The following is a 13,289-nucleotide window of genomic DNA, read 5'->3' as shown; positions in this document are numbered from 1 at the left end:
CCAAAGCTTAATTGCTTAAAACATAAGCATGTATTATTTCACAGTTTCTGTGGAATTTGAGAATAGCTTAGCTGGGTTGTCCTAGCTGAGGGTTTCTCATGAGGTTGCAGTTGAGCAGTCAGCTGGGGCTGCAGTCATCTGAAGGCTTGACAGGGGCAGGAGATCTACTTCATGATGGTGCACTCATGGCTATTAGCAAAGGGCCTCAGTTCCTCAGTTCCTCGATGGCTATTGGTGGGAGGATGCTGTTTTGGGCCCCTCCATAGGGCCACTTGAGTGTCATTGAGACATGGCAGCTGACTTCCTTTAGACAAGTGATCAAAGAGCAAACTGGAAGTCACAATGTCTTTTATGACCTACCCTCAGAAGTCATGTTCTGTCAGGCTGGGCCTGGTGGCTCATATCTGTAATCCCAGGACTTTGGGAGGCTGGAGTGGCAGGATCACTTGAGTCCAGGAGTCAAGACCATCCTGGTCAACACTGTGAAACTCCTGTTTCTACAGAAAATACAAAAATTGTCTGGATATGGTGGTGTGTGCCTGTAATCCCAGCTGCTTGGGAGGCTGAGGTGAGAGGATCGCTTGAGCCCAGGAGGTTGAAGCCGAGTGAGCTGTGCTTGCACCATGGCACTCCAGTCTGGGCCACAGAGTGAGACCCTGTCTCAAAAAAAGAAAGAAAGAAAGAAAGAAAGAAAGAAAGAAAGAAAGAAGTCATGCTCTATCATTTATGCCACATTCTATTCCTTAGTAATGAGTCACCGGGTGACTCACTCAAGCGGAGGGGAATTAGCTCCACAGAAGGGAGGGGTGTCAAAGAATTATTGAAAACCCCTCTGTTTGCCCACTGACCCAAAATTATTTATATTCCCTTCCACATACAAAAATACACTCACCCTATCCTAAGACTTCTCAAAATCTCATTTCTAAACAGCATGCAGTCAAAATAGGACATTGATATCTTAATTCATTCCAGGTGCAGATGAGGCTCCTCAGTGATGGTGAAGGAAATACAGCTTCTCCAGCATAGTTGTTCTTGGTCTGAGGACATGTGATGTACCGAGCCAAGCTCTATTTCTGGTAATTTATTCTGTCAAAGCATAATTTTCAAAAAGTTAAAAACATGACTCTCATACAAATATACAATTAGCACATGTCAAATATTTGTTCATTAATGAGAGATTCAGTAAGGTGGTAAAACTGGTTGGGAAAGCATTTTGAGGAACTGGGCATTTATAGGAATTTTTTTTTTTTTAACTGAGACGGGGTTTCATCATGTTGCCCAGGTTGGTCTTGAACTCCTGAGCTCAAGTGATCCACCTGCTTCGGCCTCCCAAAATGCTGGGTTATAGTAATATTTTTAAAAGAATGTTCAAATAGGCCAGGTGTGGTGGCTCACGCCTGTAATGCCCGCACTTTGGGAGGCCAAAGAAGGTGGATCACTTGAGCTCAGGAGTTCGAGACTAGCTTGGGCAACATGGCGAGACCCTGTCTCTATTTATAAAATTATTTCTTTAAAGAAATAAAGAAAAATTTTTTAAAAAAGGATGTTTAAATAACATTGCTAGGTTATATACACAATTGCATCATATGGTGCAGGACAATGGGACCATAACCTTTGTAATAAGATCTTCTACTGGATGGAAATATGTAAGTCCACAGAGAACTCCATAGTGTCTGAGTTATATTCAAATAGTAAATACTAAAGGCAAACACAGGGACGCTCTGTTAGAGAATTAAATAATCTTCAGTGGGCTTTTTAGACAATGCTCCAGCATGTTGTTGAAAGGACATGCACACTCCCTATTAATTTCCTTATAATAAAACAATTTTAGGGAAATTATTTTGCTGACACACATTAATTCAGTGTTTAAGGATGTTCATCGTAGTGCTCTTTGCAAAGCATAGTCTGGAAACTGGCACCTAGGAAAAGGAGACTTTTTCTAGTGTGCTAGCTCGAGTCCTTACCATCTTTACTCCCTGGAACCCTTTCATCTAACCATCTAGTCTCACCAAGCTATTTTCTTATTTTTGCTTCTATCATTTCTATGAAAAGGAAGTGGATATGGGCTGAATGGTGAGCACTTTTGTTCTTTAGATTTTCTTTCGAAGGTCTTCTTTCAACCCTGAAGAAGCGTGGATACTTTTGGATATTATCCCATCCATACCTGAGAGAGTTGCTCTCACCGTTTTTTAGAGAAAGAAAGGCTAAGATGTATTTATTCTGTAAAGATGTATTTATTCTGTAACTATGTGTTAACTCAACTTGACGTTGGTCACCTTATAAGTGTTGGAGATACAAAGATGACTAAGAAGGTCTCAAGTCCAATACCAGGAAGACTAATGATAGCAACACACACAATGACTCACATTCTTGCCACCAAAGTGTGGTTCCTGGACCAGCAGCATGGATGTCACCTGGGACATGGGAGCTTGCTAGACATGCAGAATTACTGGACTTGTTCCAAATATACTGAATCAGAATCTTCATTTTTAATAAGATCCCAGGTGATTTGTATACACATTTGCTATAGTTTGGATCTGTGTCCCACCCAAATCTCATGTCAAAATGTAATCCCCAATCTTGGAGGTGGGGCCTGGTGGGAAGTGATTGGATCTTAGGGGTGGATATCTCTGTTTAGTGCTGTTTCTGTTCTCATAATAATGAGTGAGTTCTCACAAGATCTGGTTGTTTAAAAGCGTGTGGCACCTCCCCACTCTCTCTCTTCCTCCTGTTCCAGCCACGTAAAACATGCCTGCTTCCCTTTCACCTTCTGCCATAATTGTAGGTTTCCTGAGGTCTCGCCTGATGCTGAGCAGATGCTGCCATGCTTCCTGTACAGCCTGCAGAACTTTCAGCCAATTAAACCTCTTTTCTTTATAAATTACCCAGTCTTAGGTATGTCATTACAGCAGCGTGAGAATGGACTAATACAACATTCAAATTTGAAAAGCCCTGTTAGTCCATTCTGAACCTACTTGTGTTTTCTACTTATCACCTCTTATTTAAAGTGCAGACATGAATCCACTTGTTTTTCAATAGCTGGCTTGCAGAGCCCCCACCACCACTGGTCTACAATTTTAAAGCTTATATTTTGACATGGTAGTACTAGAATGTCTTACCAGCATATGAAAATAAGAACTTTCCCTCTCCTTTCCCAAGTTAGTTTCTTGGACCTATAGAATACACAGAGAGACTGGGAAGAGAGCAGTAACCAAAATGTAGTAACAGTTATTCTCTTAAGCTTAATTTCCTACAAAGTCTTTTATTAAAGGGTGGTTAATTTAAAAAAAATACATTTATTTTTAATAGACTTTATTTTATAGAGAAGTTTTAGGTTCGCAGCAAAATTGAGAGGATGGTACAGAGATTTCCCATACACTGCTACCCCACACACCCACAGCCTCCCCACTTGTCAACATACCCTACTAGAATGGTACATTTGCTACAATTGATGAAACTATATCGAGATATCATTACTCAAAGTTGATACTTTACACTACGCTTCACTCTTGGTGTTAAACATTCTATGGGTTTGGACAATTATATAATGACACGTATCCACCATTACAGTCTCATAGGGAATATTTTCACTGTCCTAAACATCCTCTGTGCCCCACCTGTTCATCCTTCCCTCCCTGCTAACCCCTGGCAACCTCTGATTCTTTTTCTGTCTCCACAGTTTTGCCTTTTCCAGAATATCATATAGTTGGAACCATAGCGTATGTAGATGTTCAGATTGTCTTCCTTCACATACTAATATGCATTTAAAGTTCCTCCATATCTTTTCATGGCTTGATAGCTCATTTCTTTTTAGCAATAAATAATATTCCATTGTCTAGATGTAACACAGTTTATCCATTCACCTAAGGACATGCTGTTTGCATCCAGGTTTTGGCAATTATGAGTAAAGCTGCTATAAATGTCTGCATGCAGGTTTTTGTGTGGTTATGTTGTCAACTCCTTTGGGTAAACACCAAGGAGTGCAATTGCTGGATTTTATGGTGAGGGTATGTTTAAGTTTTTTTTTTTCTTTGTTTGTTTTTGATATGGAGTCTCACTCTGTTGCCCAGGCTGGAGTGCAGTGGCATGATCTCGTCTCACTGCAACCTCCGCCTCCCGAGTTCAAGTGATTCTCCTGCCTCAGCCTCCGAAGTAGCTGGGACTACAGGCACGTGCCACCATGCCAGCTGATTTTTGTATTTTTAGTAGAATAAAAAATTTTAAATGGGTTTCACCATGTTGCCCAGGCTGGTCTTGAACTCCTGACTTCAGGTGATCCACCCGTCTCGGCCTCCCAAAGTGCTGGGATTAAAGGCATGAGCCACTGCACCCAGCTGAGTATGTTTAGATTTGTAAGAAACTGCCAAACTCTCTTCTAAAGTGGCGGTACCATTTTGTATTCCCCACCAGCCATGGATGAGAATTCCTGTTGCTCCACATCCTCACCAGCATTTGGTGTTGTCAGCGTTTTGGATTTTAGCCTTTCTAATAGGTGTGCAGTGGATTAATTCTTTTTTATTAAGTCTTTTTTCTTTTCTTTTTTTAGAGACAGGTCTCTCTGTGTTGCCCAGGTTGGCCTCAAACTCCTGAGCTCAAGCTGTTCTCCTGCCTTGGCCTCCCAAAGTGCTGGGATTACAAGTATAAGCCAATGTACCCGGCCTAATTAAATTTTTATGAAGCTCTCTGCTCACATATTTGAAAGAGGTGCTAATTGGAGTCTTTGAATAATGAAGAACTGAAAAAATTAAACTGTTTTAATAGTAACCGATTTCTGAGTACTACCAGCAGGTCTACCCTGGCCAAAATTAGGAAAAGATTCATTTTCCTATGTGGTTCAAAACTGCTTTTTTATTATTTTGGTGAAGTAACAGTTAAAAAAGCAAAATATTAAACCAGATGATAAGAAAATACAATTTCTGGCTGGGTGTGGTGGCTCACCCCTGTAATCCCAGCACTTTGGGAGACTGAGGTGGGTGGATCACCTGAGGTCAGGAGTTCGTGACCAGCCTGGCCAACATGGCAAAACCCCATCTCTACTAAAAATACAAAAATTAACGGGGCATGGTGGCACATGCCTGTAATCCCAGCTACTTGGGAGGCTGAGGCAGGAGAATCACTTGAACCCAGGAGGCTGAGGTTGCAGTGAGCATAGATTGTGCCTGCACTCCAGCCTGGGTGACAGAGCAAGACTCTGTCTTAAAAAAAAGAAATACAATTTCTTAATTTCGACATCAATAAACAAGTATTTGTGTGCCGAGAGTGGTATTTTAAGTTAAGGTACTAAAATGAGTCTAAAGCTGCTTACCAAACGACCAATTAACAGACAGAAGTTGCTTTTGGAACAGATTAGCTAAATGAGTTTTAAATCTAATTTGAATCTTCATATTTAGTTTCATAAAGATAGCTTAAATTTGGTAGAATTATTGGGGTATGGGTATGTATCTGAAACATAAAAAACAGAAGGCACAGTTCCAGGGTGGTTGTTGAATTCTAGGCAACGTGAGTCTTCCTGAAGCAGGGTGGGGTGGAAGCAGACACAGGAGAAGACTTCTCAGAGGCGACAAAACTGACTGGGTCTTGAAGGATGAAGAGGATCCTGTTTTCTTTCTAATCCATCACAGAGAGTAGGAGGTACAATCTGGGATTTGGGATTTTTGGTCTCTTACTGACCTCCACATTGAACATGAAAATGTTGCTTGTAGAACTTTAAAAGCATCTCTGGTATGTCTCTAAAAAACACAAAACTGCTTTAGGATTTTTTTTTTCCCTAAATAGGGCAGATCTGCAAAGATGGAAAGAAGAGGAAATACTAAAAATAACTTTCCCCAATTAGTGAGAGCCGAACACATATGGTAAGATGGGAATAGTTTTAGATGGCCCAAAGTAACACGGTGATGCAAAATGAACTCCCCAGGCAGAGGGAATAATTAGAAACAGCCACAAAAATTTACTCAAGATGTGATGAGAACAACAGCTGAATATGATATTCAGGGGATGTGGAGACCCTGAAGAGGTGAGTATGGTCTTGCAGCTTTTTGGAACCTGGAGAAATTGAGGAACTGGCTCTGAAAACATTCCTGCCTATTCTTTCCCATGAAGGTTCCTTCTTGGGAAGTCAGACATTCTGGATCTTTTACTAGAAATTCTAAGGGGTATGAGATCAGAGTCGCACATTTCATGAAACCCACAGGCAAGTGGCTGGGCCGCTCCTTCTCTGCTGGCAGGGATTTTGTGTTTCCTCCGGCATGCGGGAAGAGCCACCTGTGGCCTGTGGCCTGTGGCCTGATGCGACGGTACAGGACTGCCGAGATCGGGCTGCGAGCCTCAGCACTCTGGGCTCTGGCCCAGCTGGCCAGCTGGCCACCCTGCCCCGGACACGTGGGCTGCCGCTCAGCCAGCAGGACAGGTGCTTGCTGCCAGGGCCACCTCCCCCGGCAGGGAGGGTCACCAGTGACGATGACAGGCCTGATCTGACCTAAGGGCGGCTCCTCCATGCTGTGCCACGTTCCCTTTTGTCACTGACTGGCTTGCATGTCCTTTGGTGACCTCGGATATTCATGTTTCTCTCTCCTCTTTCCTATACCCCTTGCAGACATTCAGCCGGTGTGCGCCCCATGAGAGCAGCGGTGGGGAAGACCCTGTGCTGCTCCGTCCGGGTCAGTAGCTGGTGCCCTGAGCTCCCGAGGGCTCCAAGCTGCTGGGCACCTCTCCAGGTGTCTGACCATCTGCCTGACCGGCCTGTGTCCCACGCCCACGGTCATTCTTATTGTGAATTTTTCTGTCTACACCTGTTATTTCTTTCCTTTCTTTACACCCACCAATCTTTATTTTCCTATCTAATCACCCCAAACTCTGCTTTCGGGCATCCCATTTATCCCACGCTTTCCTCACACAACCTCTGGGCCAGGACTCCTTTCTCTCAGAGTCCTGGGCCTCGCTCTTCACTTTTCCCACACTGACGCGATGGTCTTGCTTTCCTCTGCACGTCCTGGCAGCGACCTGCGAGTGCTCAGTCCCCTGCTGAGGAACCTCATGCAGGATGGTGCTCATAGCTGAAGGTGGAGAACCCAGGGCAGCCTGTCACTTACAACACAGCCAGACTCCCAAGAGTCAGCAAACCTGGCCTGGTGCGGTGACTCATGCCTGTAATCCCAGCCCTTTGGGAAGCCAAGGTGGGCGGATCACCTGAGGTCGGGAGTTCGAGACCAGTCTGGTAAACATGGTGAAACTCTGTCTGTACTAAAAAAAAAATACAAAAATTAGCAGGGCATGGTGGTGGAGGACTGTAATCCCAGCACTTTTACAGTACTGGGCGTGGGTGGTGGACGCCTGTAATCCTCAGCCTCCTAGCACCTGTAATCCTGGGAGGCTGAGGCAGGAGAATCACTTGAACCTAGGAGGTGGAGGGTGCAGTGAGCTGAGATTGCACCACTGTACTCCAGCATGGACGACAGAGCCAGACTACGTCTCAAAAAAAAAAAAAAAAAAAAGAGGAAGAGTCAGCAAACCAGGGACATTTTTTTCCTTGATGCCTCTACTCAGCCTGCTCCAGGATGGAGCCAACAGAACTCTTTGCTCCCTGCCTGCTGATCACTTTCCCCAAAATATGTGAACCAAGACACTGTTCCCAGGTGGTCCTGCCACCAGTCTGGCTGCAGCTCTCTCTTCCCCTCTTCCTCTCTCAGTGGTCAATCCCATTTCTGCCTTTGTTATATACAGCACCATTAGTTGACAGTCCTCCTCCTATAAGAGCAGATTTGAATGCAAATAACTACAATTCCCTGGGCTATTCTCTGACACTGGGGATCCTTAGATATACCTTGGGAGACACCAACTCAGAACGACTGAAATAGAACAAAAAATTGAAGCAGTTGCAATTTCACAACCTGGATGAGTGAATTGAGTAACCACCTCAAGCGAGAATCTGTGTGTGCACACACAACACAGCAGAGGACGATGCCCCTCGTAGAGTTGCAGTCTGTGGTTTAGAGAAACAGAAAATATAATCTGAAGGAAGGAGTCGAAAATGGCATTAGGAGACAGAAACAAAGAGGAGGGAGATGACACTTTGGCTGGGGAAATCAAGGGATGCTGGATGAAAGGAGGGTCATAGGCCTGGGGAAGAGGCCAATTGGGTTCAAATCCCAGCTTTGCCATGGACCAGCTCCAGGACCTCACTGTGCCTCGGTGCCCTTAACCACGTAGTGGAGGTAATCATACCTACCTCAGAAGATTGCTGTGAGAATTACATGAGAAAACACTCATAAAGCCCCCAGCACACGGCAAGTGTGGATTAAATGGAAGCTGTTGCTTCGCAAGTTTCATGGAGACCACATTTGATCTGGATATGGACATGTGCACAGGGAGGGTCCATGGCAGTATCAGGGACTCCCACAGGAAAGGGCTCTCAAAGGAGTAACAATCCCCTTCTTTTGTGCTGAGGAGGCTTAACGGTGCCAATCCTTAGTGGTACCAATTTTCAAAAACTTCTCTTTAAATGTAATAGGCCTTGGAATCAACTGCTAAAGAAAGCCACTAATTAAAAAAAAGGTAGGGCACACAGGCTTCCATTGTGGGAAGGACTATCCAAGTCTCATGGTCTAAAGGTACCCACCTGTAAGTGGGCAAACTACATTCAGGGGAAGTCTGGACAGACTTGCTCGGAGAGGGCATTTCTCCCCAAGGTGGCTAGGTGGCGATAGAAGCACGCTAAAGCAGCGACGATGTACCAATCCTGAGTCGGCCCTGCAGCTCTCAGGCTCCTGGTAGCAGGCATCCCCCACCCCACACACAGCCCACCAGCACCCCACATATCCCCACCGCCTTCCTCTCCTCTCATCCTGCCTTTCTGTCTTCAAATATTTCCTGAAAGACTAATATATCTCAGGCAAATACATGCACTAAGATGCAGAAATGTATGAAAAATTCTATAGAAATACCAAGCTTTACATTTAATATGAATGTTACGTTGTCACGTTTGAGAAATGCATATCTGTTAAGAAGTCTCATTAACACCCTAAAAGATCCCCTTAAAGCTTTTACCTACCAAACGCTGTTCAAAGTTGTTGGGACTATACTTGGTTTAAGAAAACACAACAAAACGTTTAACAGTAAGTATGGAAAGAGGACAGCTTTGCCAAAACACAGTCTTGAGTTCAACTCCTAGCTGCAATACCAACAGCAGTATGACCTCAGACAAGCTATCTGATCTCTCTGAGCCTCAGATTCTACAACTATAAAAGGTGATAGATCATTGCACGTATACGGATATGACATTTAGTAGGTGCCTGACAGACTGGAGTTTCTTGCACTGTGCTCTCTAGAGTAGGAAAAGCTCAGCATGTTGCTACCTGGGTAGAGAAAAGAGGGAAGTGTCTGAGCCAATGAGTAGAGACACTCTCTCTGCAGGCTCACCTGGGGAGAAACTGAGGGACTAAATGCACACAGCTCTGCACACATCAAACATCAGTTAAGCACCCCGAGCACTTGAAACTTTGGGGGAAAAGATAAAGGTAGTCTAAAATGTGCTTATTACCAAGCAAGAAGAGTTCAATCCAAGATTTTTCTTGAGTGCTTAATCTGGGTGAGGCCCAGGCCAGGCAAGAGAAGGATTATCACAAGCTGAGTGGGAAACTGTCCAGGTGGCGAAGCTTTGTGAGCAATGGTGTGATGCCTGGGCAAAGACAGAGTGGGGGCAGAGAGAGAGGAAATAGAATCGAGTCAGGAGAACTGTTCCCTTGTGTGCATGCCGTTATTAGTCATTTTTGTCAGCTGGTTTCTGGGTAATTGATGGCACAGGCTCAGAGTTGGTTGACGTGCACCGAGGGGGCACTCCTAGGGGAATCTGGGTCTGGATTGAGCCGCAGTGAATTTGACATGTAGTAAAGTACTCAGGAAATGCAGGTGCTCCAGAAGACCTCAGAAAGGGTTCATTTTAAGATTGTGAAGTTTGCTGTTAGAACAGAGCTGTGATGTGTAAGAATAAACTTGGACTTGTCCAGAGAGGGTTATTTCTCCCCAAGGTGGGCTCAGGACGCTTTGCTTGAGGGAAGGTCCAGTGTCACTATCTGTCACCCATGGGACTTTAGACAGGTAACTCATGACTTATAAAGCAGGGCTTGTGGTGGACAGAGTCCTAGGCCTTTCACCTGGTATACACGCCCTGGATAACCGCCTGCCGTGAGGGTGATGGGACCTGTGAATATGGTGGGACATCACAGCCATGATTATCTTTCATTGTATGGCCAAGGTGAAGGGATTCTGCCATTAGAGTATCCAATGAGTTGGTTCTGAGTTAATGAAGGGGAGGTTATCCTGGGTGGACCTGGCCTAGTCAGGTGAGTCTTTGAAAGAGGGTCCAGAAGTCACAGACAAATGGGAGTCAGGAATATTCTCCTGATGGCACTTATTTATTTATTTATTTAGAGATGGGGTCTCACTATGTTGCCCAGGCTGCTCTCAAACTCCTGATCTCAAACGACCCTTCTCCCTCAGCCTCCCAAAGTACTAGGACTGAAGAAGCAAACTGCCTTGCTGTGGAGAAAACCACACAGCAGAGAATGATAGGCAGCCTCTAGGAGCTTAGAGCAGCCCCAGCTGACAACCAGCAAGAAAGCAGGAACCTCAGTCCTATACCCGTCGGGAACGTTGGCTGCCATTGTAGCGGGGGCAAGCCATCTCTGGAGCCAGCCACTAGTGGGCTTGGACGAAGACTTCAGTGACATGAGATGAGATGAGATTACAGCCCAGCTGACACCTTGCTGGTGTCTCAGCCTTAAGAGACACTGAGCAAGGGACCCAGCTGAGCCATGCTGGACTCCTTGACCCATGGAAACCGTGAGATAATAAACGGGTCCTGTTTTAAGCCACCAGGTTTGTGATGATTTGTTACATAGCAATAGAAGGCTAAGACAGGACCTGTACTGCCTACTTTGCAGAGTTGTTTGAAGATTAGGAAAAAAGTATGTAAAGTACCTGGCACGTAGAAGACTACTAATAAATGGTAGCTTTAAGTCACGCAGTCCATAATGATCCAATTCCTTTTTTAGAGGGAATGTAAATTTCTTCCTTTTTTTTCTTTCTCGAGACAGAGTCTTGCACTGTCGCCCAGGCTGGAGTGCAGTGGCGTGATCATGGCTCACTGCAGCCTTTACCTCCCTGGCTCAAGTGATCCTCCCATCTCAGCTTCCCGAGTAGCTGGGACCACAGCATGCACTGCCATGCCTGGCTAATTTATGTATTTTCAGTAGAGACGAGGTTTCTCCATGTTGCTCAGGCTGGTCTTGAACTCCTGGGCTCAAGCAATCCTCCCATTTTGGTCTCCCAAAGTGCTGGGATTACAGGTGTGAGCTACCGCACATGGCCAAATCTTTTCTTTTCAGAATGAATCTTGTGAAATGCTGAGAATTGTTGAGAGGACTGAATGAGATCATATGTCTAACATGCTCTAGTGTGGAGTCTAGCACACAGTCAACAGTAGGTAAATAGTAATGATGAGGATGATGTTTGTAGTGGTTTTTATCCTGGTAAAAATGAGGCATGTATTGTAATAGACGTAGATCTTTTTTTTCCCCCTTAAAACCACTTTTGCCTTGCTTTACAAGTAGCATCTCTTGCAGAAGTTCCAGAGACTGTTACAGAATTATCCACTGTCTGAATAGAAATGAACCTTGGATATAATCTGGCCTAACTTCGCTTTTCAAATGAAAAAACAGTGAGTCTGAAGTCAGCTTGTTTGATGCCACAAAACAAATTAATAGCAGAATCAGGATTAGAATTTAGGTATCTTGATGTCAAGGCCACTTCTGCAGAACCATATACAGTTGTCCCCTGGTATCTGTGGGGGATTGGTTCCAGGGTGCCTGAGGATAACAAAATCCCTATGTAAAATAGCACAGTATTTGCCTGTAACCTATACAATTCTTTAGTGTACTTAAATCAAAATCATCTCTAGATTACTTACAATACCAAATACAATGTAAATGCTATGTAAATAGTTGTAGGCCGGGCACGGTGGCTCATGCCTGTAATCCCACCACTTTGGGAGGCTGAGGCGGGTGGATCACGAGGTCAGGAGATCGAGACCATCCTGGCTAACACGGTGAAACCCCGTCTCTACTAAAAAAAAAATACAAAAAATTAGCCGGGCATGGTGGCGGGCGCCTGTAGTCCCAGCTACTCAGGTGGCTGAGGCAGGAGAATGGCGTGTACCCGGGAGGTGGAGCTTGCAGTGAGCCGAGATCATGCTACTGCACTCCAGCCTGGGTGACAGAGCGAGACTCCGTCTCAAAAAAAAAAAAAAAAAAAAAAAAAAGTTGTTGTATTGTTTAGGGGAAAACGATAAGGAAAAAAGTCTATATATCACAACCATCTATTTTTTTAGAATATTTTTGATGCACCGTTGGTTGAATCTACAGATGTGGAATGCAGTTCTGGAAAGCCAATTGTATTTATTTCTCTTCCGAAATGTTTTCTCTATTTAAGACTCAGTGCCATCTCAACTCATAAAGTATCAGCATTCCCTTGTAAAACTCACCCTGCACACAATTTATCAGTCATGAACATTTTTTTCCAGCTACCTCTCTTGAAGTATTTATTATTGAGAGTAATTCATTCCATTAATGTTGATTGAGAGCCGACTTTGTGCTACATTTGGAATCAATCTTGTTAAACTGCAGCCCCAAATCACTCCAAAATTAGATACCAAATTTATTGCAAGCCCTTGGGCCACAACGACCCTATAAAGGAGGTCTGCTGTGACTAGTATTTTTACAGATGAGGAAATTGAGACATAAGGAGATTCAGGGGCTTGCCTGGGCTGGTCCAACAACTAAGAAGACATGGAGTTGGGATTTGTACACGGAGCTGACTAGCTGCCACTTTCAGCTTCTTTCCACTTTTAATTAGACTGCTTCCCAGAAGCTGATTAGGCTAAAATTTTATAATAATAAGGAGGACAGGTCTAGACTCCCCTCCCTTCAGGCCCATCACTAGTAGCTCTACTGGATCTGGACTCATGTTGCCTCCTTGGTCCTAAGGGCCAACAGCACAAAAGCTCACAGCACTAAAGATGCGTGATGAAGGAGCTGAACTTTGCCTTCAAGAAAATGTCTTTCTTTGGGGCTTATCCTCTTGTTGGGAGAAGTCTCAGTATCTGCTTCTTCCCCTTCCCCTTGCAGCTTTGTTTTTATTTTTTATTTTATTTTTTAGAGAGAAGATCTTGCTCTGTCACCCCGGCTGAAGTGCAGTGGTGTGAACATAGCTCACTGCAGCCTAGAACTCTTGGGCTC

The 13,289-nt window shown here is 44.4% G+C and overlaps 2 annotated features.

Annotated features, from left to right (window-relative positions):
• Window positions 6,378-6,910: an enhancer, noted in NCBI's record as "H3K27ac-H3K4me1 hESC enhancer chr18:8990234-8990766 (GRCh37/hg19 assembly coordinates)". NCBI's record gives its function as "activates a minimal SCP1, AML or CMV promoter by ChIP-STARR-seq in primed H9 embryonic stem cells {active_cell/tissue: H9 hESC(primed)}" and the evidence as "EXISTENCE:reporter gene assay evidence [ECO:0000049][PMID:30033119]".
• Window positions 7,901-8,010: an enhancer, noted in NCBI's record as "active region_13063". NCBI's record gives its function as "activates an Ori minimal core promoter by ATAC-STARR-seq in GM12878 lymphoblastoid cells {active_cell/tissue: GM12878}" and the evidence as "EXISTENCE:reporter gene assay evidence [ECO:0000049][PMID:35858748]".

The sequence above is a fragment of the Homo sapiens genome, chromosome 18 (assembly GCF_000001405.40).
Source record: "Homo sapiens chromosome 18, GRCh38.p14 Primary Assembly".
Taxonomy (NCBI): domain Eukaryota; kingdom Metazoa; phylum Chordata; class Mammalia; order Primates; family Hominidae; genus Homo; species Homo sapiens.
The sequence above is the reverse complement of the archived record's forward strand: the minus strand, read 5'-3'. Positions and strand labels throughout refer to the sequence as shown.